This window comes from Homo sapiens, chromosome 12 (assembly GCF_000001405.40).
Source record: "Homo sapiens chromosome 12, GRCh38.p14 Primary Assembly".
NCBI classification, from domain to species: Eukaryota; Metazoa; Chordata; class Mammalia; order Primates; family Hominidae; genus Homo; species Homo sapiens.
In genome coordinates, this window is record NC_000012.12 from 121,297,820 (window position 1) to 121,325,746 (window position 27,927).

At 43.5% G+C, this 27,927-nt stretch overlaps 1 protein-coding gene across 3 annotated transcripts in view; it reads right to left on the reverse strand.

Annotated features, from left to right (window-relative positions):
- Positions 10,426–27,927, reverse strand: part of ANAPC5 (anaphase promoting complex subunit 5) — a 45,965-nt gene continuing 28,463 nt past the window's right edge. For all 3 annotated transcript variants that reach the window (NM_001137559.1, NM_001330489.2, NM_016237.5), the window contains exons 12-17: positions 22,566–22,640; positions 21,878–21,999; positions 20,682–20,789; positions 20,458–20,605; positions 11,882–12,044; positions 10,426–10,872 (exon numbers count right to left, since the gene is read on the reverse strand). In NM_001137559.1, coding sequence (NP_001131031.1) covers positions 10,661–10,872; positions 11,882–12,044; positions 20,458–20,605; positions 20,682–20,789; positions 21,878–21,999; positions 22,566–22,640 — 828 coding nt within the window. In that variant the 3' untranslated portion in view covers positions 10,426–10,660. The remainder of the gene's footprint in view (positions 10,873–11,881; positions 12,045–20,457; positions 20,606–20,681; positions 20,790–21,877; positions 22,000–22,565; positions 22,641–27,927) is intronic.

The window sequence follows — 27,927 nt, forward strand, 5'->3', positions numbered from 1 at the left end:
ACATGCAACGAGCCAATGAGAGCTCCACCCCGACTCCCTTTTTTTTTTTTTTTTTTTTCTTTTCTGAAACGGAGTCTCGCTCTGTCGCCCACGCTGGAGTGCAGTGACGCGATCTCGGATCACTGCAACCTCTGCCTCCCAGGTTCAAGCAGTTCTCTGCCTCAGTCTCCCGAGTAGCTGGGATTACAGGCGCCGGCCACCATACTTGGCTAATTTTTGTATTTTTCGTAGAGATGGGGTTTCACCATGTTGTCCAGGCTAATCTTGAATTCCTGACCTCGTGATCCACCCGCCTTGGCCTCCGAAAGTGCTGGGATTACAGGTGTGAGTCACCGCGCCCGGCCCACTCCCATTTTTTTTTCTTTGTTTTTTTTGTTTGTTTGTTTGTTTGTTTGTTTGTTTGTTTTGAGACAGGGTCTCTCTGTGTTGCCCAGGCTGGAGTGCAGTAGCACGATCACGGCTCGCTGCACCCTCGACCTCCCCAGGCTCAGGTGATCCTCCAGCCTCAGCCTCCTGAGTAGCTGGGACTACAGGCACACACCACCACACCTGGCTAATTTTTTCTATTTTTTGTAGAGACAGAGTTCTCCCTATGTTGCCCAGGCTGGTCTCAAACTCCTGGGCTCAAGTGATCCTCCTGCCTCTGCCTCCCAAAGTGCTGGGATTATAGGCATGAGCCAACATGCTCGGCCATCCACCTCTTCTGATGTTACTCAACGTGCATGCATTTGCTGGAAATGGCAAAAACCTGAGGCCGGGCATGGTGGCTCACGCCTATGATCCCAGCACTTTGGGAGGCCCGGGCGGAGAGATCACTTGAGGCCAGAAGTTCGAGACTAGCCTGGCCAGCATGGTGAAACCCCATCTCTATCAAAAATACAAAAATTAGCCCGGTGTGGTGGCGGTGCCCGTAATCCCAGCTACTCAGGAGGCTGAAGCACGAGAACCACTTGAACCGGGAGGCAGAGAGATCGCACCACTACCCTCCAGCCTGGACGACAGACCAAGACTGTTTCAAAAAAAAAAAAAAAAGTCTGGGCACAGTGGCTCACGCCTGTAATCCCAGCACTTTGGGAGGCCAAGGTGGGCAGATCACGAAGTCAGGAGTTCAAGTCCAGCCTGACCAGCATGGTGAAACCCCGTCTCTACTTAAAAAAAAAATGCAAAAATTAGCCAGGCATGGTGGCGCGCGCCTGTAATCCCAACTACTCAGGAGGCTGAGGCAGGAGAATCGCTTGAAACCCGGGAGGCAGAGGTTGCAGTGAGCCGAGATCATGCCACTGCACTCCAGCCTGGGTGACAGAGCAAGACTCCATCTCAAAAACAAAACAAAACAAAACAAAAACACAAAAAAAAAACCACCTGGGAACAACTTCCTATATGTTCATCAAAGGAATGGATAAATGAAACTCATTATAGTTGTTTGATGGAATACCATCTAATAGATAAAAGGGGTGCACTGGATCTGTACTGACATAAGGAAATCCCAAAAACATAATGTTGAGTAAAACAGCAAGTTGCAGAATACAACATGATGTACAATTTGTGTGTACCTTAAAATCCCATGCAGTAGATACTGTTCATGGACACATGCTTACATACAAGATTTTTAAAGTCAAAGAGAAGAATATACATTAAATTCATGACAGTGTGCCACAAAGAAGGAAAAAAGCACAGAACGGGACAGGGAGCATAAGGAATGTTGTAAAGTTTTATTCCTTTTAGTACTTATAAATGGCTGTGAGGCAAATGGCAAACTGTTAGCAATAGTCAATTCTGAATGGGGGATGCATAGTCCCGTATTTTTCTATATTCTCATATTTCCCCCCCCCCCCCCAAAAAAAATATGTATCAGGCCTGGTGGAGATTATCTGGGGCACTTTAAGGCAGGGTCAGCAAACTTTGTAAAGGGCCAGATAGTAAATATTTTAGGCTTTGCAAGCCATAGGCTCTGTAATGCAGCTACTCAACCCTGCCATCCTAGCAGCCACAGGAAATAGTAAATGAATGCATGCGGCAGTGTTCCAATAAAACTTTATTTACAGACACTGAAAACTGAATTTCATATGATTTTCATAAGTCACAAAATATTACTGTTTTGGTTTTTATTTAACCATTGAAAAATGTGAAAGGCCAGGTGTGGTGGCTTACACCTACACGCGTGATTACAATCTTAGCACTCTGGGAGGCCGAGGGGGCAGGATCACTTGAGCCTAGAAGTTTGAGACCAGCCTGGACAACATGGCAAGACCCATCTTGACAAAAAGAAAAAAGAAAAACGTAAAAACCATTCTTAGCAGGCCATAAAAAACAGGTGGCATGACAGATTTAGCTTATGGGCAATAAATAGTTTGGCAACCCTGCTTTACTAAGGTAACCAAAATAGATTTGGGTGTCCTTTCCTGTTACTGGATGTCTTTTCCTGGTACTTGTTAAACAATTCTGTATGTTTACATCATGTTACTAAATTGCCTGTGTTTTATTAGAACACTGTAGCTCACACAGGCAGAAACTTAGATATACACACAGCTGTGTAAACTTAAAAGCCAATTAAGTAAGAAAGGTTGGGAAGTGCCCCTACAAATCCAAACCCTAGCTCAAGAGTTGCTTTTCCTGATAGTTTCCTGAAATGCTGTGAGCCAGGCCCTCCCTGCCCGCTCCTCTCTCTGATGTCTTAAAGCAAGGACTGTACCATTTATTTGATGCTCAGCCACCTCCCTTCCTTCTTTATTCCTTCCTTTTTCACTCTGTGTTTTGACTTGCCAATAGACCTATATCTTCCTGGCATCTAGGCAGGTACCACATCTGAAACCTTTGTATACTCTCCGCATTGTGGGTGACAGCAATGACCCTGAAGTCAGATAGATTTTGTTCACATCCCAGTTTCACTAGTTACCAGCTCTGTGGCCTTGGGCAAATGACTTGATCTCTCCCAATTTGGTTTCGTCAGCTGTCAAATGGGGATAATAATAGTATCTAGCTCACAGGTTTCCCATGAGGTTTAAATCTAACGATGTATGTATGTAAAGATACTAGCTCTGTGCTTGGTACATAAGTCTTCAATGATGCTAACTAATTAAAATTAGCACAAAGCTAAAACCCCCATCAATATATGTGCTTTCCTTATTAAAGTTAATTAGAACAGGACAGAAACATCACAGTTGCAATTCTTTTTTTTTTTTTTTTTGAGACGGAGTTTTGCTCTTGCTGCCTGGTCTCACAGTTGCAATTCTTTTTTTTTTTTTTTTTTTGAGACGGAGGTTTGCTCTTGCTGCCTGGTCTCACAGTTGCAATTCCTTTTTTTTTTTTTTTTTGAGACGGAGTTTTGCTCTTGCTGCCTGGTCTCACAGTTGCAATTCTTTTTTTTTTTTTTTTTTTGAGACGGAGTTTTGCTCTTGCTGCCTGGTCTCACAGTTGCAATTCTTTTTTTTTTTTTTTGAGACGGAGTTTTGCTCTTGCTGCCTGGTCTCACAGTTGCAATTCTTTTTTTTTTTTTTTTTGAGACGGAGTTTTGCTCTTGCTGCCTGGTCTCACAGTTGCAATTCTTTTTTTTTTTTTTTGAGACGGAGTTTTGCTCTTGCTGCCTGGTCTCACAGTTGCAATTCTTTTTTTTTTTTTTTTTTGAGACGGAGTTTTGCTCTTGCTGCCTGGTCTCACAGTTGCAATTCTTTTTTTTTTTTTTTTGAGACGGAGTTTTGCTCTTGCTGCCTGGTCTCACAGTTGCAATTCTTCTAAGAATCATCCCACTGCCGGGCGCGGTGGCTCACGCCTGTGATCCCAGCACTTTGGGAGGCTGAGGTGGGCGGATCACCTGAGGTCAGGAGTTTGAGACCAGCCTGACCAACATGGAGAAACCCCGTCTCTCCTAAAAATACAAAATTAGCCAGGCATGGTGGCGCATGCCTGTAATCCCAGCTACTTGGGAGGCTGAGGCAGGAGAATCGCTTGAACCTAGGAGGCAGGGGTTGCAGTGAGCGGAGATCGCGCCATTGCACTCCAGCCTGGACGACAAGAGCTAAACTCTGTCTCAAAAAAAAAAAAATCCCACTTAAGGCAACCGTTTTCTTCTTAGAAATATGAAAGTAAGAATTTGCTTTGTTTTTTGGATTTTTCTCCTCCAAGAACACCAGAAAATTCTATTCTAGGCAAACAGATCTTGTTGTCCTGACAACAGATTGCCAAGAAAATAAGTAAACAAAGCATCTGAATCATATTTTTACAGAAAACTTGAACAGTACAAGGGAGGGGCTGGAAGCAAGAGTGTAAAATTACCTCACCCCCAAGGACAGCACTGTAATTTCCTGCGGAGGTTTCATCCTTCCTTTCTGAACCGTGTGCCGCTCATGTTGCTCACTGGAATGTTCCACCTCCCAAACCTTGAACATCCAGATGCAGACAGCAGGATTCATCACACCAATGTACTGGGAAAGGAAAAGAAATCTGGGGACCCCAAACTCACTAAGCCAAAGGGAAAAGTCAAGCTGGGAATTGGGTCATGCAAACCCGCCTCCCATTTTGGTTCCTAAATAAGGTGGCTACAAAGATGAAAAGCGACACACCTCCCTCACATTTTGCCCACAAGGAAATTCCTGGCGGCCCCCAAGATCTTTACCCTAAAGCAGTTCTGTTGAAGTTCTCCAAGGCAATGTAAATGGATAGCTTATCTTCACAGGTGCGGGGGACATAGGACAGAACTCAAAGTCATCCCTCTACTCACCTGAGACAAATGCGTATCTGATTGCTTCCTTGGCCCTATCTTCTATGTTATCTTATATAAAAATTCAGATTCGGCCCGGCGCGGTGGCTCACGCCTGTAATCCCAGCACTTTGGGAGGCCGAGGTGGGCGGATCACAAGATCAGGAGATCGAGACCATCCTGGCTAACACAGTGAGACCCCATCTCTACTAAAAATACAAAAAATTAGCCGGGCGAGGTGGCGGGCGCCTGTAGTCCCAGCTACGCCGGAGGCTGAGGCAGGAGAATGGCGTGAACCCCAGGGGGCGGAGCCTGCAGTGACCCGAGATCGCGCCACTGCACTGCAGCCTGGGCGACAGCGAGACTCAAAAAAAAAAAAAAAAAAAAAAAAAAAAAAAAATTTCAGATTCACCAAGCCAGGCAAAGGGATGAATGACTATTTTTCCCCTACCCACTCTCACATGAAAATTGTGTATTTCTCAATATCCTGCCCTTTCCCCTTTAAATACTGAAGCCTTCAAAATCATTTTCGGAGAAAGGCATACACCTGTCTCCCAGGTAGTTCCTTAACTTTGGCAAGTAAGCCTCCTAAAATGATTGAGACTTGCCTGGGTCATTTTCTTTGATTTACAGCACTTGTTGAATTTTTTTTTTTCCCATTCACCAGGACAGTAGAAAAACGCTGTCGCTAGCTAGGCGTGGTGGCAGGCACCTGTAATCCCAGCTACTTAGGAGGCTGAGTCAGGAGAATCACTTGAACCCAGGAGGCATAGGTTGCAATGAGCCGAGATCGGGCCGCTGCACTCTAGCCTGAGGGACAGAGCCAGACTCTGTCTCAAAAAAAGGAAAGAAAAATGCTGTGGGGCTGGGCACGGTGGCTCATGCCTGTAATCCCAGCACTTTGGGAGGCCAAGGCAGGGGATCACTTGAGGTCAGGAGTCCGAGACCAGCCTGGCCAACATGGTGAAACCCTGTCTCTGCTAAAAAATTCAAAAATTAGCCAGGTATGTTAGCACGTGCCTGTTATCCCAGCTACTCAGGAAGCTGAGGCACGAGAATCGCTTGGACCTGGGAGGAGGAGGTTGCAGTGAGCTGAGATCGTGTCACTGCACTCCAGCCTGGGCAACAGAGCGAGACTCCGTCTCAGAAAAAAAAAAAAAGAAAGAAAGAAAAGGAAAAAAATGCTGTCAAGTCAGGCTCAGAGGCACGCGCATGCAGTCCCAGCTACTTGGGAGGCTGAGGCAAGAGGATCACTTGAGCCTCAGATTTCAAGGCCAGCCTGGGCAACATAGTGAAACTATCTCTAAAAAAGAAAAGAAAAATGCTGTCAGAAAGAAGATCTTGAGAAGTTTCACTTCAACAGGCAGTGAGATTACTAGTCCCAAACATAAACAACATCATAGAAGAAGTGATGGGGGCACAGATGAGGAGGCTTTTCATTTGTCTCAGCATACATCTTCGAGGAAAAAAACTGGCCGGGCGCGGTGGCTCACACCTGTAATCCCAGCACTTTGGGAGGCCAAGGCGGGCAGATCACCTGAGGTCAGGAGTTCTAGACCAGCCTGACCAACATGGAAAAACCCCGTCTCTACTAAAACTACAAAATTAGCCAGGCATGGTGGTGCATGCCTGTAATCCTAGGCTGAGGCAGGGAGACTGAGGCAGGAGAATCGCTTGAACCCGGGAGGCAGAGGTTGCAGTGAACCAAGATCACGCCACTGCACTCCAGCCTGGCCAACAAGAGCAAAACTCGGTCTCAAAAAAAAAAAAAAGAAAGAAAGAAAAAGAAACAGGAAAAAAAAAAGCCAGTGTAACCACCCAAAAATATTAGGACCAAATTTAAAACACTTTGAACAAGTAGAAATATTCAGAGTATGGAGGTGAATACAAAGGCAGCCTGGTGATGTGAGAAAGAGCCTAGGCTGTGGAGCCCATCACTTCTGGGGCTGAATCCTGATTCTGGTCCTCACCAAGGTCGGGGCTGGGTCAGGCCCAACCTCCAGGGCCCGCTTTCCTGCCTGTAAAACAGGGATGATGTTTAGCTCACAAGCATTAGAGATGGTATGTGTGGAAGTACATAGCAGTGTCTGGCCCACATTGGGCACTACGTAAATAACAACTAATATTATCGTTTATGTGTTCAACAAACTGAAAAACAATGTTCACAAAAACAGGACAGTACTTTTGAAAATTCTAAGGGTAGGCCCAGCCCTGGAACCTATCAGCAGCGTGGCCTTGAGCAAGTAACTTAACCCCCTTATGCCTCCATCCTATCCTGTTCAATGGAATTCATGCTATTGCTAACTCTTGGAATTACTGTGAAGATTAAACGTGTTAATATAGCTAAGAACTTAAAACAGGGCACACGGCTGCTGGGTAGAGTTCCCACTGTGCCACCAGGTCAGAACACCTTTTTCCTTCTCTCCCTTAGAGGATACATCCTGAAGATCTCGGGTATAGACCCGAATGCCTGCTGCTTAAAAAGCTTCAATTCCGGCCAGGTGCGGTGGGTCATGCCTGTAATCCCAGCACTTTGGGAGGCCGAGGCGGGTGGATCATGAGGTCAGGAGTTCGAGACCAGCCTGGCCAATATGGTGAACCCCTATCTCTACTAAAAATACAAAAATTAGCTGGGCATGGTGGCGGGTTCCTGTAATCCCAGCTACTTGGGAGGCTGAGGCAGGAGAATCGCTTGAACCTGGGAGGCAGAGGTTGCGGTGAGCCGAGATTGCGCCATTGCACTCCAGCCTGGGCAATAGAGCGAGACTCCATCTCAAGAAAAAAAAAAAAAAAGAAAAAGTTTCAATTCCCTCCTCATTTAACCTTTTCCCCATTTAACCAGACGATCAATTCTTATACCCTTAAACCACTCATCATCACATCATTATGAAATTATTGACTCCTTTTTTTCCCCCCACCAAATGCTCTATCAGGAGAAAAGCCAGTTAGCTGTCACCCCGACAGTTCTGAGTTTTGGGGTCACAAATGTCTCTACTTTTCATTCAACCCACTCTGCTATCAGGGAGGAGACAAGCCCCTCAATCAACAAATCTAAGTCACAGATAGCAGGAGACCCCAGACCCCTTCTATTAGCTTTGGATTTAGGCCCTGTCTCCCTGCTAGGGTGAAGCTGCCATCAGCTGAGAGGCGCTTTGGGCAGGCTGGCTTTTCAGGTGTGCAAACTGTGCAGGGCTGTGGGCTCAGAAGGGCCCTATATTGGTTTAAGGCTCTGCCGTTGCTGTTTGAAATTATTTTATGTTTTTTTTTTTTGAGACAGGGTCTCACTGTGTCGCCCCAGGCTGGAGTGCAGTGGTGCGATCTCAGCTTACTGCAACCTCCGCCTCCTGGGTTCAAGCGGTTCTCCTGCCTCAGCCTCCCACGTAGCTGGGATTACAGGCGCCCACCACCATGCCTGGCTAATATTTGTATTTTTAGTAGAGATGGGGTTTTACCATGTTGCAAAGGCTGGTCTTGAACCCCTGACCTCAGGAGATCTGCCCACCTCAGCCTCCCAAAGTGCTGGGATTACAGGTGTGAGCCACCACACCCAGCCTTTTAAATTTTTACTTTTTAATAGAGGCCTCACATTTTTAGTTTGCACTGGATTCCATGAGTTGCATAGCTGGTCCTGGTCAGGCGTGATGACATCAAGCTTTTATGTTGGTATCTGTGGGGTCACCTGAACAACCTGACCCCATTTATTCAACCTTCTGCTGAGGCAGAGTAGCTAAGGCCACTTCTTAAATTGAAAGGCTCTTACTTTAAATACATTAATCAAAAATGACATCAGATGAAAAAATATACTTGAAAGAATAAAAAGGAACTGATAAGTTACCTCCTAAGAGGAAGTAGTACTTTTTTTTTTTTCTTGAGATAGAGTTTAGCTCTTGTCACCCAGGCTGCAGTGCAATGGCGTGATCTCGGCTCACTGCAAACTCTGCCTCCTAGGTTCAAGCGATTCTCCTGCCTCAGCCTCCCGAGTAGTTGGGACTACAGGCGCCCGCCACCACGCCCAGCTAATTTTTTTATTTTTAGTAGCGACGGGGTTTCACCATGTTAGACAGGCTGGTCTCAAGCTCCTAATCTCAGGTGATCCACTCATCTCAGCCTCCCAAAGTGCTGGGATTACAGGCTGAAGAATTACTTTTTACTACATAGCCTTTAATATTATTCAATGTTTACCATCTCTATATATAACCTTTCAAATGAATTTAAGATTTTCAGTCAACATACCAATTAGTCTCTATCTCTCCACCAAGTCTCTTGTTTCCAGAGCAGCTGTCTTTGGCCAGCAAATGTACCGTAATGGATACAACTGTTTTACACTGCTTCAAAGAGCCCTGAAGAGAAATTACTCCCCATCAGAAAAACTTTCTGATGGGAAATTTAACAGAGAAAGAACCAATAATAGGAGCTGCACAATTTAGTTGGTTCCCTGTTGCTTTATAAAGACTATTTGGGGCAGGCACGGTGGCTCACGCCTGTGATTCCAGCACTTTGGGAGGCTGAGGCAGGTGAATCACCTGAGGTCAGGAGTTTGAGACCAACCTGGTCAACATGGTGAAACCCCATCTCTACTAAAAATCCAAAAATTAGCCAGGCGTGGTGGTGCATGCCTGTAGTCCCAGCTACTTGGGAGGCTGAGACAGGAGACTCCCTTGAACCCAGGTGGATGTTGCAGTGAGCGAAGATCACGCCACTGCACTCCAGCCTGGGCAACAGAGCAAGGCTCCATCTAAAAAAACAAAAACAAAAAAACACAACTATTTGGATATAGCTGCTGCTTTGGACTTGAAACAATGGCATTTTTCTGTGAACACTCAAGGATAAGAAATTCATGAACAGAAAAAGCAATAACTGGCTCCTGCTTACTTGCAGGGTTAAGAAATGTAAACTATAATACACTATATATTTGGTGATAGCATCTCACACCTCTGAGCTTTGGACCCTTTCTTATTTATTTTTATTATTATGTTTCTGAGACAGAGTCTTGCTCTGTCGCCAGGCTGGAGTGCAGTAGTGCGATCTTGGCTCACTGCAACCTCCACCTCCCGGGTTCAAGTGATTCTCCTGCCCCAGCCTCCCGAGTAGCTGGGATTACAGGCATGCACCACTATGCCCAGCTAATTTTTGTATTTTTTTTTTTAGTAGAGATGGGGTTTCACCATGTTGGCCAGGCTGGTCTCCATCTCCTGACCTCATGATCCACCCGCCTCAGCCTCCCAAACTGCTGGGATTACAGGCGTGAGCCACCGCAGCCGGCCCCCTTAATTTATAATCACCTTACTCATGATGAATTCCTGGACGTAATTTATCATCATCCCTCATTTATAGAGTTAAATATAGAAAAAAAAAGTGCCCATGCAGAATATATAAGAAAGCCAACATCTAGAAAGGGACTGAAAAATGCTCCTGGTCATTGGTCCAAAAATTATGAAAAAATCTTTTCCTTCTTAATCTCCAGTCAGGGACCAACAAGTCCTCGTGAGCAGCCACAGGAACCACAAGCGCTGGTTCAGTCCAACAAGGCAGGGAGGCCTCAGAAGAAAGTCCAAGCCTCATACAGACCTGCACTGACCACCCTGGAGAGATCTACCAATTCCAGGAAGAGCTCTTGTCTGAGAATAGGTGCTAAATGAATTTACATAATGATGGAGTGTGTACAATTTCTAATCAAGATATTGGCAATTTTGCCCAGAGAGAACATAATCTGAGATGCTTGCACTAACTTGTTAGCAAAATACCCATTTATTAAGAAAAAGTTGGTGTCCTTTGCTACCAAAAGGGAAGAAAAGGGGAATAAAACAAATACGTAGTTACTAGCAACAAAATAAGACAAACTAATCAGAATGCTGTTTATTGACAAGATAGGGTGTCACAAATACATCATTTATAGGGAGAGAGGGGACATGAACAAGTCCAAAATCTTATACTCTGCACAGCAGCCCAGCAGGGATGTCCTCTCTAGAGATGGTTTATCAAGGGTACCCCATGAGAGGGCAGCTCCTGATGCAGCTGCCGGAAGAGCATCGCACACCGGTTCCTCTCCTGGGTCTTCCCCAGGGTATGGTAGAGTCTGGCCTGGAAGTAAACGACGTCCCTGATGCGCTCTTTGCAGTCAACCTTTGCAAAATAGTTCTTGGCTTCATTGAGGTTCTCGATGGCAGCCTCCAGAGCTGACGGAAAGGGGAAAATAACACACACATTTAACTCAACCCTTCACGTATAGTTTTCAAAACGTGGTATTTAGTTTTATTTGTTCAACAACTACCAGAAGATTCTTTTATATTCTCCATTCTTTGAGAGAGAAAAAACAAACCACTAGGGTGAGGTTTTCAAAAAGGTCTTTAAGACTGGGCGAAGTGGCTCATGCCTGTAATCCTAGCACTTTGGGAGGCCGAGGCGGGTGGATCACCTGAGGTCAGGAGTTCGACGCCAGCCTGGCCAACATGGTGAAACCTTGTCTCTACTAAAAATACAAAAATTAGCCAGGTGTGGTGGCAGGCACCTGTAATCCCAGCTACTTGGGAGGCTGAGGCAGGAGAGTCACTTGAACCCGGGAGGCAGAGGTTGCAGTGAGCTGAGATCACGCCGCTGCACTCCAGCCTGGGCGACAGAGTGACTCCATCTCAAAAAAAAAAAAAAAAAAAAAAGGCCGGGCGCAGTGGCTCACACCTATAATCCCAGCACTTTGGGAGGCTGAGGTGGGCAGATCACAAGGTCAGGAGTTCAAGATCAGCCTGACCAACATGGAGAAAGCCCTACTAAAAATACAAAAATTAGCCAGTCTTGGTGGTGTGCGCCTTTACATATTCAGGAGGCTGAGGCAGGAGAATTGCTTGAACCTGGAAGGCGGAGGTTGCAGTGAGCCGAGATCACGCCACTGCACTCCAGCCTGAGCTACAGAGTGAGACTTTGTCTCAAAAAAAAAAAAGTCTTTAACTCCTGACTTCTAGCCTGGTACTTGGCTCTATAGGGTTAAAATAGCCATTCACTTGTCCTCAATCTTTCTGCCAAGCATGCATGTGAAAGCACTTTAAATGCTGCATGAAATTTTAATATATATTTGTGAACACTCAGAACTTAAATGCTGTCCCAAATTTAATGTCTTTTCTTCTTCTGGGTCCTAAACTTTCAATGCTTTCTGGAATAGCATTGCCTAACAGTCTTCGTACAGCTTCCTACCTTCTGCTTTCTTCGGCTGATCGTAGGAAGCTGCTGAAGCCACCTGGCACTTGGCCACTAAGAACATGGCACGACCTTTGTCCAGGATAGCCCCGTCAGCCAAGATGGGCTCGATGGCCATGTGGAGAAGACTTAAGGCCTGTTCTGGGATTCCAAGAATGAGCTGAAAAAGAAACATCATGGCACTGTACATACCCAAACCCACTGCCCTTCACCAGGAAGCGTTTCATTTCTGGCAGTTCTCTCCTGAATGGCTATCTCTGGCTTACCTTTTACCTGACATGTACTACGTTAAAACAGGAACCACATTCCTAGAAAACACAACATGTGACAATCTGATTTCAGACTATGACAAATATAGCAGGGGGCGGTTATTCACACTATGAAAAGGTTCTTGTCTTTACAAAAAGATCCAGCATTAATATCCTTTAGCTTGGTGATTCTGAGGGGTTGAACTAGGTGGGAGAAAGGTAACAATCCAGAAAATAACTCAAAAGAATAAAGCAAAAGAAACAAGAGATTCCGGTTGGTGTTAGTATGTTTAAAAAAAAAAGAGAGAATTAAAATGGTACACTAGAGCTGGGCACAGTGGCTCATGCCTATAATCCCAACACTTTGGGAGCATGAGGCAGGAAGATCACTTGAGGCCATGAGTTCAAGACCAGCCTGGGCAACACAGCAAGACCCTGTCTCAAAAAACAAATTTAAAACAATTAGCTGAGCATGGTTGCACATGCCTGCAGTCCCAGTTACTCAGGAGGCTGAGGCAGGAGAATCACTTGAGCCCAGGAGGTCAAGGTTGCAGTGAGCCACAATCGTGCCACTGCACTCCAGCCTGGGCAACAGAGCAAGACTTTGTCTCAAAATAAAACTAGAAAACATCTACTTAACACACAAGAAAGCAGTAATGGAGGAACTGAGGGACAAAAAAGATATGACATATAGAAAACAAGGCAGGCGCAGTGGCTCACATCTGTAATCCCAGCACTTTGGGAGGTGCAGGCGGGCAGATCACTTGAGGTCAGGGGTTCGAGACCAGCCTGGCCAACATGGTGAAACCCTGTCTTTCCTAAAAATACAAAAATTAGCTGGGCATAGTGGCACGCACCTGTAATCTCAGTTACTTTGGTGGCTGAGACAGGAGAATCACTTGAACCCAGGAGGTAATGGATGCAGTGAGCAGAGATCACACCACTGCACTCCAGCCTGGGTGACAGAGTGAGACTCCATCTCAAAAAAAAAAAAAAAAAAAATCAAATTAGAAATAATGACATTAAAGGTAAATGAGTTAAACTCTCTAATTAAAAGGCAGAAATTGTGAGAACAAACTTTTTTTTTTTAAAGTATCCACTGTATGCTGTCTACAAGAGACTCACTGTAGATTAAAAGACACAAATAGTACTTTAAAAATTAGTCAGGCATGATGGTGCTCTCCTGTAGTCCTAGCTACTTGGGAGACTGAGTTGGGAGGATCCCATCAGCCCAGGAGTTCAAGGTTACAGTGAGCTACGATTGCAGCAATGCACTCCAGCCTGGACGACTGAGTGAGACCCTGTCTCTAAAAAAATAAAATAAAGACACAAATCAGCTGAAAGTAAAAGGATAGAAAAATATTCCATGCAAACAATAACCAAAAGAAAGCTGGAGTGCCTATATGAGTATCATACAATATAGAGTTTAAGTTAAAAACCGTTACAAGAGACAAGGAAAAAGGAGGACATTATATACTCATGAAACAGTCGATTCATCAAGATATAACAATTATAAACAAGCCAAACAACAGTGTTCCAAAGCATATGAAGCAAAAACTGACAGATTTGAAGGGAGAAATAGACAATTCAACAATAATAGGCCAGGCACAGTATCTCATGCCTGTAATCCCTGCACTTTGGGAAGCTGAGGCAGGTGGATCTCTTGAGACCAGGAGTTTGAGACCAGCCTGGGTAACATGGCAAAAACCCATCTCTACAAAAATATAAAAAATTAGCTGGTTATGGTAAGGCACACCAGTAATCCCAGATGCTCAGAAAAGTGAGGTGGGAGGATCACTTGAGCTCAGGCAGTTGAGGGTGCAGTGAGCCATGATTGTGCCATGGTATTCTAGCCTGGGCAACAGAGTGAGACTCTGTCTCAGACAAAATAAAACAAAACAAAAACCACAATAATAGTTGGGGAGCTCAATATCCCACCTTTCAATCGCAGATAGAAAAATTAGACAGAAGATCAGCAAGGAAAGAGAAGACTTGAATGACACTACAAATGAACTGGCCCTAACATATATATATAAAGCATGCCACCCAATGATACATCAGAATACAAATTATTCTCAAGTGCATATGGAACACTTTCCAGGATAGACTGTGTTTGGGCCACAAAATAACACTCAATAAATTTAAGAGGAATGAAATCATACAAAGAATCTCCTCTGATCACATTAAATCAAAAATCAGTAACAGAAGGAAACCAGAAAATTCACAAATATGTGGAAATTAACATACTCTTAAGTAACCAATGTGTCAAAGAATAAATCACAAGGGAAATTAGAAAATGCAATGAGGTGTATAAAAATACCACAGACTCTGGCTGGGCGCAGTGGCTCATGCCTGTAATCCCAGCACTCTGTGAGGCTGAGGCGGGTGGATCACCTGAGGGCAGGAGTTCGAGACCAGCCTGGCCAACATGATGAAACCCCATCTCTACTAAAAATACAAATATTACCCAGGTAGCCAGGCACAGCGGCTCACACCTGTAATCCCAGCACTTTGGGAGGCCGAGGCAGGCAGATCATGAGGTCAGGAGATCGAGACCATCCTAACACGATGAAACCCCAGCTCTACTAAAAATACAAAAAAAAAAATTAGCCTGGTGTGGTGGCACATGCCTGTAGTTCCAGCTACTAAGGAGGCTGAGGCAGAAGAATCACTTGAGCCTGGGAGGCAGAGGATGCAGTGAGCTGAGATCGCACCACCGCACTCCAGCCTAGGCGACAGAGCGAGACTCTGTCACAAAAAAAAAAAAAAAAAAAAAAAATTACCCTAGTGTGGTGGTGCACGTCTGTAATCCCAGCTACTTGGGAGGCTGAGGCAGGAGAATTGTTTGAACCCAGGAGGCGGAGGTTGCAGTGAGCCAAGACTGTGCCACTGCACTCCAACCTGGGTGACAGAGCAAGGCTCTGTCTCAAAAAAAAAATACACAGACTCTCATTTATGAAATTTGTGGGATAAACTACAAATTTATGAAATATAGTTCTCAAGGAAATTTATAACTGTAAAGGCCTACATTACAAAAGAAAGAAGATCTCAAATCAATAAGCGAATCTTCCACCTTAAGAAACTAGAAAAGAGGCCGGGCGCGGTGGTTCACGCCTGTAATCCCAGCACTTTGGGAGGCCAAGGCGGATGAATCACCTGAGGTCAGGCGTTCGAGGCCAGCCTGGCCAACATGGCGAAACCCCGTCTCTATTAAAATTACAAAAATTAGCCAGGCGTGGTAGCATGCGCCTGTAATCCCAGCTACTCGGGAGGCTGAGGTAGGAGAATTGCTTGAACCTGGGAGGCGGAGGTTGCAGAGAGCCAAGATTGCACCATTGCACTCCAGCCTCGGTGACAAGAGCTAAACTCCATCTCAAAAAAAAAGAAAGAAACTAGAAAACGAAAAGCAAACTAGACCTAAAGCTAACTAACAGAACCAAGGAAAAAATAAGGATTAAAGTGGAGATAAACAAAATGGAGACTAAGAGAACAACAGAGAGAATCAATAAAACCAAAAGTTGGTTCTTTGAAGAGATCGACAAAATTGATAAACTGTTAGACTGACCAAGAAAAAAGAGACAAGACTCAAATAACCGAAGTCAGGGATGACACTGGGGACTTTACTAACAACCTTACAAAAGTAAAATGGATTATACAAGAATACCATGAACAATTCTATGCAAGAAATTAGATAAAAGGTAAAATGAACAAATTCCTAGAAAGACCAAACTACTAAAATTGACTCAAGAAACAGGAAATCTGAATAGACCTATAACAACTAAAGAGACTGAATTAGTAACCAAAAAAACTTCCAACAAAGAAAAGCCCAGGGCCAGACTGCTTCACTGGTGAATTTTACCAAACTTTAAAACAATTAACACCAATCCTTCTCAAATTCTTCCCAGAAAAAGGAGAAGAGAGAATACTTTCTAACTCATTTTGTGGGGCCACTATTACCCTAATACTAAAGCCAAAGAAAGATATCACAAGAAAACCACAGATCAACATCCTTTATGAATACAGATGCAAAAATTCTCAACAAAATACTTGCAAACCAAATCCAATAGCACGTTAAAAGGAACATACACTATGACCATGTGAAATTTACTCCAGGAATGCAAGGTAGTTCAATACACAAATATATAAATAAAATGAAAGAAAAAATCGGGGCTGGGCGCAGTGGCTCACGCCTGTAATCCCAGTACCTTGGGAGGCAGAGGTGGGTGGATCATGAGGCCAGGAGTTAGAGACCAGCCTGACCAACATGGCAAAACCCTGTCTCTACTAAAATACAAAAATTACTTGGGCATGGTGGTGCACACCTGTGATCCCAGCTACTTGGGAAGCTGAGGCACAAGAACTGCTTGAACCTGGGAGACAGCCTGGGAGACAGAAGTTGCAGTGAGCCAAGACTGCACCACTGCATTCCAGCCTGGGCAACAGAGTGACACTCTATCTCAAAAACAAACAAACAAAAACCCATATGATCAAATCAATCAATGCAGAAAAAAAAAATTTGACAAAATCCAATACCTTTTCATGAAAAAAACACTAAATAAACTAGGAATAGAGGGAACTTCCTCAACCTCTATAAAAAACCCACAGCTAGCATGATATTTGATGATGAAAGACTGAACGCTTTCCCCCTACAGGAACAAAATAAGGACATACACTTTTTTTTTTTTTGAGAGGGAGTCTTGCTGTTGCCCAACCTGTAGTGCAGTGGCATGATCTCGGTTCACTACAACCTCCAGCTCCTGAGGACTGAGTTCAAGTGATTCTCAGTCCTCAGCCTACCTAGTAGCTGGGATTACAGGCATGCACCACCACCACTACACTCAGCTAATTTTTCTATTTTTAGTAGAGACGGGGTTTCACCATGTTGTCCAGGCTGGTCTCGAACTCCTGGCCTTAAGTAATCTGCCTTGGCCTCAAAAAGTGCTGGGATTACAGGTGTGAGACACCGAGCCAAGACACACACTTTTGTCACATTTATTCAACATGTATTGGAAGTTTTACTCAAAGCATTTAAGCAAGAAAAAGAAATACAGGGCATCTAAGTGGGAATGGAAGAGGTAAAACTATCTCTATTTGCAGATGACATGATCTTATACATACAAAACCATAAAAAAAAAATCCCCAAAACCTGTTACAGGTAATAAGTTTGGCAAAGTTGCAGGATATAAGATCAATATAAACTAGCAACCCAAAAATAAATGTTTAAAAAAATTTCATTTAAATTACCATCAAAAAGAATAAAATACTTAGGGATAAATTTAACCAAAGAAGTGAAAGATTTATATACAGAAAGCTACAAAACATTGTTGAAGTAAGTTAAAGATCCAAATAAAAGGAAAGACATCCTGTGTTCATGGGTTGGAAGAGAATAGCATTAAGATGGCAATGTTCTCCAAACTGACCTACAGATTCAAATACAATCCCTATCAAAATTACAACTACTGTTTTTGCAGAAATGAACAAGCTAATTCTAAAATCAACATATAATTGCAAGGGATGCTGAATAGCCAAAACAATCCTGAAAAAGAACAAAGACTCCCACTTCCTGATTTCAAAACTTACTACAAAGCTATAGTAATCAAAACAAAGTAGTACTGGCATAAGGGTAACATATAGATCAAGGGAATAGAATTGAGAGTCCGAAAATAAACCTATATATCTACGATCAGTTGTTTTCTTTTTTTTCTTTGATCAACTGGTTTTTAACAGGGGTACCAAAACCATTAAATGGGGAAAGAGGAGTCTTCAACAAATGGTGCTAGAATAACCTATATCCGTATGCAGAAGAATAAGAGTGGAGCCCTATCTCATAGTATATACAAAAATTAACTCAAAATTATTCAGACTTAAACATAAGCATTAAAACTATAATACTGTGAGAAGAAAACATAGAAGAAAATCTTCATGACATTAGATTTGTCAGTATCTTAGACATGATACTAAAAGCACAAGCAACAAAAGAAAAATAAATTGGACTTCATAAAAATTTTAAACTTTTGTATATCAAAAGACACTAACAAGAAAGTGAAAAGACCAAACACAGAACAGGAGAAAATATTTGTAAATTATATATCTGATAAGGGTCTAGTATCCACAATATATAAATAATTTTTACAAGTGAACATCAAAAAGATAAACAACTTAGTTAAAAAACAGGTAAAGGATCGGAATAGACGTTTCTCCAAAGAACATATGCAAATGGCCAATAAGCACATGAAAAGATACTCAACATCATTAGTCATTAGAGAAGTGCATATCAAAACCACAATGAGACACCCCTTCATACCCACTAGGAAGGATGTAATAATTAAAAATGGAAAATAACAAGGGTGGGCAAGATTGTGGAGAAATTGGAACCCTCATACATTGCAGGTTGAAACAAAATGGTGCAGCCACTGTGGCATTTCCTTAAGAAGTTAAACACAAAATTATCATGACTCAGCAATTCCGTTCGTAGGCATCAAATGAAAACAGGTATTCAACCCCGGGCGCGGTGGCTCACGCCTGTAATCCCAGCACTTTGGGAGGCCGAGGTGGGCGGATCACGAGGTCAGGAGATCGAGACCACCCTGGCTAACACAGTGAAACCCCATCTCTACTAAAAATACAAAAAAATAGCTGGGCGTGGTGGCGGGCGCCTGTAGTCCCACCTACTCGGAAGGCTGAGGCAGGAGAATGGCATGAACCCGGGAGGCGGAGCTTGCAGTGAGCCGAGATTGCACCACTGCACTCCAGCCTGGGTGACAGAGCGAGACTCTGTCTCAAAAAAAAAAAAAAAAAAAAAAAAAGAAAACAGGTGTTCAAACAAAAGCTGTACAGAAATGTAAAGAGCCGCTATTCATAACAGCCAAAAGGTGGAAACGACTCAAATGCCCATCAGCTGATGAATGGATAAGCAAAATGTGATCTAACCATACAGTGAAATATTCTTCAGCCATGAAAAACAATGAAGCACTGATACCTATTGCTACATGGATAAAACCTGAAAACATCAAGCTAAGTAAAAGAAGCCAATCAAAAAAGGCCACATTTATATGAGTCCAGTTATGCAAACTGTTCAGAATAGGCAAACTCATAGAGACAGAAACCGGTGAGAGGTTACCAGAGGCTGGGGGAAGGGAGGACTGGGGAATGACTGCTTAATGGGTACAGTTTCCTTTTCTATGTAATGAAAATACTCTGAAATTAGATAGCAGTAATGGTTGCACAATGTTGTCAATATTCTCAAAACCACTGAAATGTACACTTTAAAATGGTTAAAGTGGTAAATCTTGTGTTACATACTTTTTTTTTTTTTTTTTGAGATGGAGTCTCGCTCTGTTGCCCAGGCTGGGAGTACGGTGTCACGATCCTGGCTCACTGCAACCTCCGCCTCCCAGGGTCAAGCGATTCTCCTGCCTCAGCCTCCCGAGTGGCTGGGATTACAGGCACGTGCCACCACGCCCGGCTAATTTTTGTATTTTTAATAGAGATGGGGTTTCACCATGCTGGCCAGGCTGGTCTTGAACTCCTGACCTTGTGATCTGCCCACCTCAGCCTCCCAAAGTGCTGGGATTATAGGCATGAGCCACCACACCTGGCCATGTACATTTTATCTCAAGAAAAAAAAAAAGAATCACTGAGGAAGGTAGTAAGAAACAGATTCCTTAGCTCCACCCCTAGAGATTCTGACTCCGTAGGTCTGAGGCAAGGCCTCAGGTACGAAGATATTTTTTAAATCTCCGCAATAATTCTAATGTACAGCCAGTTTGGAGAACCTCCACTTTAATTAATAAATTCTTCCAGTGCATTTGACCTTCACTCATTCATTGATTAATATTTATTGAAAGCCTTCTATGTGTAGGGCCTATAAGGTACTAGGGAATATAGATGAAAATGAAGAGTCAATTCCTTCATGGCCTTTACTGGGGGAGAAAGAAAACAAACATAAAATACAATTTGATTTCCAAAAGCTTTCAATGAACATCTGTGTTCCTCATTTCTTTATTCACATCCCCTTGTTGCTAAATCAAGCATCACTCTGTGTCAGCTAATCATTAATATGATGCAGGTGTTCTCACTGAAGAGGCGAGTCCTCCTTACTGAATACACAGCTCAGGAAAGCCAGTGCCACTGGAAAGTGTCAGTTTGTCACCAGGTTCACACCTCCACAGGCCTCCTTGGAGGGCTTGCACAGGAAGACTACCTTTCCAGACGTCAATATGAACAAATGAAAACTCATTATTATCCTTTCAATACTCAAACGTAGTCACAGACTCACCAGCTCTTGAGCACAAATATGTGCTATAAAAACAGAGATCGGCTTACCTGCGCAAAAGCCAAGTTCAGCACTGTTTCAGAGGCCAAGTACTGTAACCGGTACTCCTTGGAGAGGGCCAGAGCCTGCAGGAGCATGGGCAGCGCGATGGTAGGGGAGGAAGATCGCCAGTACAGCTCTGCCACGGACAGTAGGACACTGACCGTAAAGAGGAAAACACAGGATGAGAAGATCCACCACCACATCTCCGTGAGATGTACAAGAGACCCCTTACCTGATCACCATTTCTGTGTTCTTCAGTTTCTGACAATGAACCAACAATTTTTGTAAAAGCTTATGTGCCTCTGACATTTGGTTCTGAGCTTGTAATACAACCGCTTTCCTGAAACAGAATCAAAATGAACACAAGTGTTTTAACTAGTCACTTTGAGGGTAAGAATCTCAATTTATTCAATTGCGCTATAAACCTCCCAAGGGAAAAAACTGTGCCTGATTTAATTTTTGTTGAAAGAGGCTGAGCGCGGTGGCTCACACCTGTAATCCCAGCACTTTGGGAGGCCGAGGCGGGCGAATCACAAGGTTAGGAGCTCGAGACCAGCCTGGCCAACATGGGGAAACCCTGCCTCTACTAAAAATACAAAAAATTAGCTGGGCGTAGTGGTGGGCACCTGTAATCCCAGCTACTCAGAAGGCTGAGGCAGGAGAATCGCTTGAACCCAGGAGGCAGAGATTGCAGTGAGCTGAGATCGTGCCACTGCACTCCAGCCTGGGCGACAGAGTGAGACTCTGCCTCAAAAAAAAAAAATGTTTTTGTTGTTGAAAGAATAAATTGTATGTGTGTATGAATGTGTGTGTGAGCATGTATGTGAGCATGCTGTGTATACACAAACACACACACACACACACACACACACACGCATGCAGGAAAAATTCTGGAATTATAGATAACAGCATGTTAATGATTATCTCTGGGAGATACTTATTTTCTTCATTTTGCTTATCTGTATTTTCTTTTTTTTTTTTTGGAGATGGAGTCTCACTCTGTTGCCTGGGCTGGAGGCAATGGTGCGATCTTGGCTCACTGCAACCTCCGCCTCATGGGTTCAAGCAATTCTCCTCCCTCAGCCTCCCAAGTAGCTGGGATTACAGGCACCCACCACCATGCCTGGCTAATTTTTTGTACTTTTAGTAGAGAGAGGGTTTCACCATGTTGGCCAGGCTGGTCTCAAACTCCTGACTTCAAGTGATGCGCCCGCCTCAGCCTCCCAAAGTGCTGGGATTACAGGTGTAAGTCACCATGCCCAGTTACAGGTGTAAGTCACCATGCCCAGCTGCTTACCTGTATTTTCTTATTTATTAAGAAAATAAAGTTTTTTTCTAAGCTAAAATAAATTAATGCACATATAAAACAAAAACAAAACCATTTAACAATTATTTTATTCTGGGGTTAGAGTTTTCAAGGTTTCTTACCTATAAACACCCTCTATGCTATTGAGAGCTGTGATTCCTGTAACAAGTGAATCAGCCAAATGATATTTGCCATCATTCATTGCTCTGTCAAACTGTATTTTTTGATCACATAGCATCCATAACTAGTAAGAAAAAAAAACACAATTAAGTACAAAATGGCGAATGTTCATCTTAATGAGTATATGAAAGTATTTTGGATTGCTTAGCAAATATCCTTACAATAATTCACACATATTCTTTTTTGGGGGGATTTAAAATTTTTTTAAAATATCTCAAGTATGTGAAAAAGCACAGAGAATAAAATAGCAGATACATGTGTGCCAATCATCAACTTTGTCAACTCACATTTTGCTTTATCTGCTTCATATACTATTAGATACCAATGAAGTCCTTTGCAAATTCTACGTCTCTTTCTCTTTTTTCAAAGTAGGCACTCAATTTGGTATTTATCATTCTCATTCAGGTTTTTTATACTTTTACAACATATACCCTTGTCTCTAAACAACATAGAGTATGAGCCTGTGTTTTTAAACTTTATATAAATAATATCATACTTGTAAGCATCCTTTGACAAGTTCCTTTTTAGCTCAATATTATTTTTCTGAGGGGAGATTATGTCCCACTTTATATTATAATAAAAGCTATTTTTATCAGAAATAAATCTATTGCCATGCAAAAGGCAGATTACCTGGGCGTGCTGACTATTAGGCGGAAATCGTTCCTTCAAGTGCTTTAACACTTCAGAAGCTGCAGCAAAACAGCCCTAAAGTAGAAACACACAATTTGATCAGCATAACCTGTGTTGAATCCACACCTGCTGTACCATGCACAGATGGTGACAGATTCACCTGTTCCCGTTCTTGATGCAGCAACCTGAGAGATACTGGTCAGAGACTCAAATTTCTTTTCTTTCTTTTTTTTTTTTGGGACAGAGTCTCGCTCTGTAGCCCTGCTGGAGTGCAGTGGCGCGATCTCGGCTCATTGCAAGCTCCGCTTCCCGGGTTCACGCCATTCTCCTGCCTCAGCCTCCTGAGTAGCTGGGACCACAGGTGCCTGCCACCATGTCCGGCTAATTTTTTTGTATTTTTAGTAGAGACGGGGTTTCACTGTGTTAGCCAGGATGGTCTCGATCTCCTGACCTCGTGATCTGCCCGCCTCAGCCTCCCAAAGTGCTGGAATTACAGGCGTGAGCCACCATGCCTGGCCAGAGACTCAAATTTCTAAGGGCCATTATTTAAAGGCTAATACAATTTATTTTAAAAATATTTTAAGACCAGGCATGGTGGCTAACGCCTGTAATCCCAGCACTTTGGGAGGCCAAGACGGGTGGATCACCTGAGGTTGGGAGTTCGAGACCAGCCTGACCAACATGGAGAAACCCCATCTTTGCTAATAATACAAAATTAGCTGGGCGTGGTGGCTCATGCCTGTAATCCCAGCTACTTGGGAGGCTGAGGCAGGAGAATCGCTTGAACCCAGGAGGCAGAGGTTGTGGTGCACTGAGATCGTGCCATTGCACTCCAGCCTAGGCAACAAGAACAAAATTCCGTCTCAAAAAAAAAAATTTTTTTTTAATTACACACGTAAGACATATCCATTCTAGAAAAACACTTACAAAATACATGTAAACAAGAACAAACAAATTACTTTTTTTTTTTTTTTTTTTTTTTTATGAGACAGGGTCTTGCTCTGTTTCCCAGGCTGGAATGCAGCAATGGTTTGATCTCAGCTCAATGCAGCCTCAACTTCCTAGGCTCAATCAATCCTCTCATCTCAGCCTCCCGAGTAGCAGGGAATACAGGTGCATGCCACCACACACCTGGCTATACAAAATCCTTTTTTTTTTTTTTTTTGAGACAGAGTCTTGCTCTGTCACCCAGGCTGGAGTGCAGTGGCATGATCTTGACTCACTGCAACCTCCTCCTCCTGGGTTCTAGCAATTCTGATGTCTTAGCCCCCACCTCCCGAGTAGCTGGAATTACAGGTGCGCGCCACCATGCTCAGCTAATTTTTGTATTTTTAGTAGAGGCAGTGTTTTGCCATGTTGGCCAGGCTGGTCTCAAACTCCTGGCCTCAAGCAATCCACCCACCTCAACCTCCTCAAGTGCTGGGATTACAGGCATGAGCCAATGTGCCCGGCTGACAAATTACTTTTGGGTTTTGCTGTTGTTGTTGCTTTTTTTTTTCTGAGACAGAGTCTCACTCTGTCACCAGGCTGGAGTGCAGTGGCATGATCTCAGCTCACTGCAACCTCTGCCTCCCGCGTTCAAGCGATTCTCCTGCCTCAGCCTCCTGAGTAGCTGGGATTACAGGTGCATGCCACCACGCCCAGCTAATATTTGTATTTTTAGGAGAGACAGGGTTTCACCATGTTGGTCAGGCTGCTCTCGATCTCATGACCTCGTGATCCGCCTGCCTCGGTCTCCCAAAGTGCTGGGATTACAGGCGTGAGCCACCGCACCTGGCCTGTTTTTTTTTTTGAGAGGGAGTCTCACTGTGTCACCCAGGCTGGAGTGCAGTGGTGTGGTCTAGGCTCACTGCAACCTCCACCTCCCAGGTTCAAGCAATTCTCTTGCCTCAGCCTCCCAAGTAGCTGGGATTACAGGCAGACACCACCACACCCAGCTAGTTTTTGTATTTTTAGTAGAGACAGGGTTTCACCATGTTGGTCAGTCTGGTCTCCAACTCCTGACCTCAGGTGATCTGCCCACCTCAGCCCCCCAAATTGCTGGGATTACAGGCATGAGCCACCGTGTCCAGCTTACATATATTTTTATAAATTACTTATAACACTGTTTACCACATGGTAGGCATCCAATGAATATTTGTTGAATGAATAAATCTTTCAATGTCAATAAATACAAATTTATATCATCGTAGTATTTTATCGGGAAAATCAATTATGGTACATGAAAATAATCTGGTTTTTGATATTTTGGTTATTTCTAATATTTTCCATTTAAAAAATGCTACAATGAATATCTTGGTGCATAGAGCTTTGCATACTGGTCCAATTATTTCCTTAGCATAAAACCTTAGAAGTAGGCTGGGTGCGGTAGCTCACGCCTGTAATCCCAGCACTCTGGGAGGCCAAGGAGGGCAGATCACTTGAGGCTAGAAGTTTGAGACCAGCCTGGCCAACATGGTGAAACCCCATCTCGACTAAAAGTACAAAAAAATAAGCCGGGCGCAGTGGCAGGTGCCTGTAATCCCAGCTACTCAGGAGGCAAAGGCAGGAGAATCGCTTGAACCCAGGAGGCAGAGGTTGCAGTGAGCTGAGATCACACCACTGCACTCCAGCCTTGGCCCCAGAGCAAAACTCCATCTCAAAAACAAAAACAAACAAACAAACAAAAAACCTTAGAAGTGGAAATGACAGGCACTTTTAAGTTCTTTGAGATATATTACTAAATTACCCTATATAAATGTACCAAGTACTTTCATACCAGAACTCTGTGCTTTTCTTCCTCTAACACTGAAGTATCTTTGCTTATATAATTGGTGAAAGTAGTACCTTAACTGCTTTAAATTTAATTTCAATGACTAGATTGAAATGTTTTCATGTTTTTGGGCCATGCTTTCTGTGAATGTACATTCATGACTTTTTTATACTCTTATATTGTCGGGATGTTTATCTTTTTTTTTTGAGACAAGGTTTTGCTCTACTGCCCAGGCTGGAGTGTAGTGGTGCAATCTCAGCTCATTGCAACCTCTACCTCCTAGGTTCAAGCAATCCTCCCACCTCAGCCTCCCTAGTAGCTGGAACTACAGGCATGTGCCACCACACACCACACCCAGCTAATTTTTGTATATTTTGTAGAGACGGGGTTTCACCATGTTGCATAGGCTGGTCTCAAACTCCTGAGCTCAAGTGATACGCCTGCTTCAGCCTCCCAAAGTGCTGGGATTACAAGTATAAAGATAAACAGCACCCAACTGGGAGGTTTATCTTATTGATCCCGAAATACTTTCAATTTGTCTCAATCCTTTCATGAGGTAATGCACTTTTTGTCTACATAGACGCTCAGGCCACATGTGGACTTTTATTTGAAGTGAATAAGCAGAAATTACATAGAATTACAATAAAAGATCATTATTCCTGTGATTTTAACTGGCCAGTCTCACCAATTATTTTCATGACCGCCACAGGGAGTCGGGCATGGGGATATAGATCCTGCAGTATCCCCCAAAAATATTCCCATCGTGGCCTGCAATTCCTGAGACTGAGAGAGGAGTGATATAAGATGAGCTAGAATTACATGGAAAGAGCAAAGGAGAATGGTTATATTAGAAAAAGAATTCACTCTACCTCCTCTGGGTTGCAAGAGGAAGCTCAGAAAGCAGTTCTGAGCCCCATAACTTATTTATGGGCTTACCGAAACCCCAATCACTCTCATACCACAAAACAACGTGCACCATCCAATTTACTTGAAGGAAAGTTTCAGAAGCAGATACAAGAGAAAGAAAAGAGTAACTGGAGACTCATGATAAAGCTGCCTTCTCTGCAGCTGGCCAAACTTAATTTCACAAGTATGAGTCTAACTTGTCTAATTAAAAATGTGACAGTCATCAGCCCAGTAAGTATATATATATCCACACGGTTGATGTTCTAAAACTAGAAAGATCTAAGGCAAGATGAAGAAAGGGGTAAAGGACTGACTTAAAAAAAAAAGGCAGCTACCTTCTAGTTGTGTACTAAAAGGCTTCCTAACACAGCCTGGCTGTTGAAGCCAAACAATGATTGGGTCAGCAGGTTTTTCACATAAGCCCAGAGGTGAAAGGGAGATGAAGATGGAATTATTAATATAGACCCAAAGAGCATGGTTACTTTTTAGGGTCTTACTCCCAGAAAAAAAAGACACAAAATTCTAACAAATGGCCTTGAACAAAGTTACAAGGCTAAAGAATTGAGCCACAAGGCACTGTGACTCACACCTGTAATTCCAACACTTTGGGAGGCCAAGGCAGGAAGATCACTTGAGGCCAGGAGTTCAAGATCAGCCTGGGCAACACAACATAGAAAGATTCCATCTCTAAGAAACAAGAATTAAAATAATTAGCTGGATGAGGTGGTGTGCACCTGTAGTCCCAGCTACTAGGCAGGTTGAGGTGGAGTTCAAGGCTGCAGTGAGCTATGATTGTGCCACCGCACTCCATCCTGGGCAACAGTGAGACCCCATCTCTTAAAAAAATAAAAAATACGCTGGGTGTGGTAATCCCAACACTGTGACACTGAAGTGGGAGGACTGCTTGAGCCCAGAAATTTGAGACTAGCCTGGGCAACAGAGTGAGATTCCATCTCTACAAAAAGATATTTTAATTAGCTGTGTGGTAGCACGCTCCTATAGTCTCAGCTACTCAGGAGGCTGAGGTGGGAGGATCACTTGAGCCCAGAAGGTTGAGGCTGCAGTTTGCTGTGATTGCACCACTACATTCCAGCCCTGGTGATACAGCGAGACCCTGTCTCAAAAAAAATTAAAAACTGGCTGGGCGCGGTGGCTAACGCCTATAATCCCAACACTCTGGGAGGCCAAGGCAGGTGGATCATTTGAGGTCAGGAGTTTCAGACCAGCTTGGCCAACATGGTAAGACCCCATCTCTACAAAAAACATAAAAATTAGCTGGGAGTAGTGGCACACACCTGTAATCCCAGCTACCTGGGAGGCTGAGGTAGGAGAATCGCTTGAACCCAGGAGGCAGAGGTTGCAGTGAGCTGAGATCACACCATTGCACTCCAGCCTGGGTGACAGAGTGAGACTCCCTCTCAAAAAAATAAAATTAAATTAAAAATAAATTAAAAATTAAAAATTAAAAAAAAAAAAGAATTGAACCAAGACTAAGGTTTTTGAAAAGTAGTTTTCTATTCTAATAGTAAAAAAAAATAATTTCGCCAGGCATGGTGGCTCACATCTATAATCCTAGCACTTTGGGAGGCTGAGGCAGGCGGATCACCTGAGGCCAGGAGTTCAAGACTATCCTGGCCAACATGGTGAAACCTCATCTCTACTAAAAATACAAAAATTAGCTGGGCATGGTGGTGGACACCTATA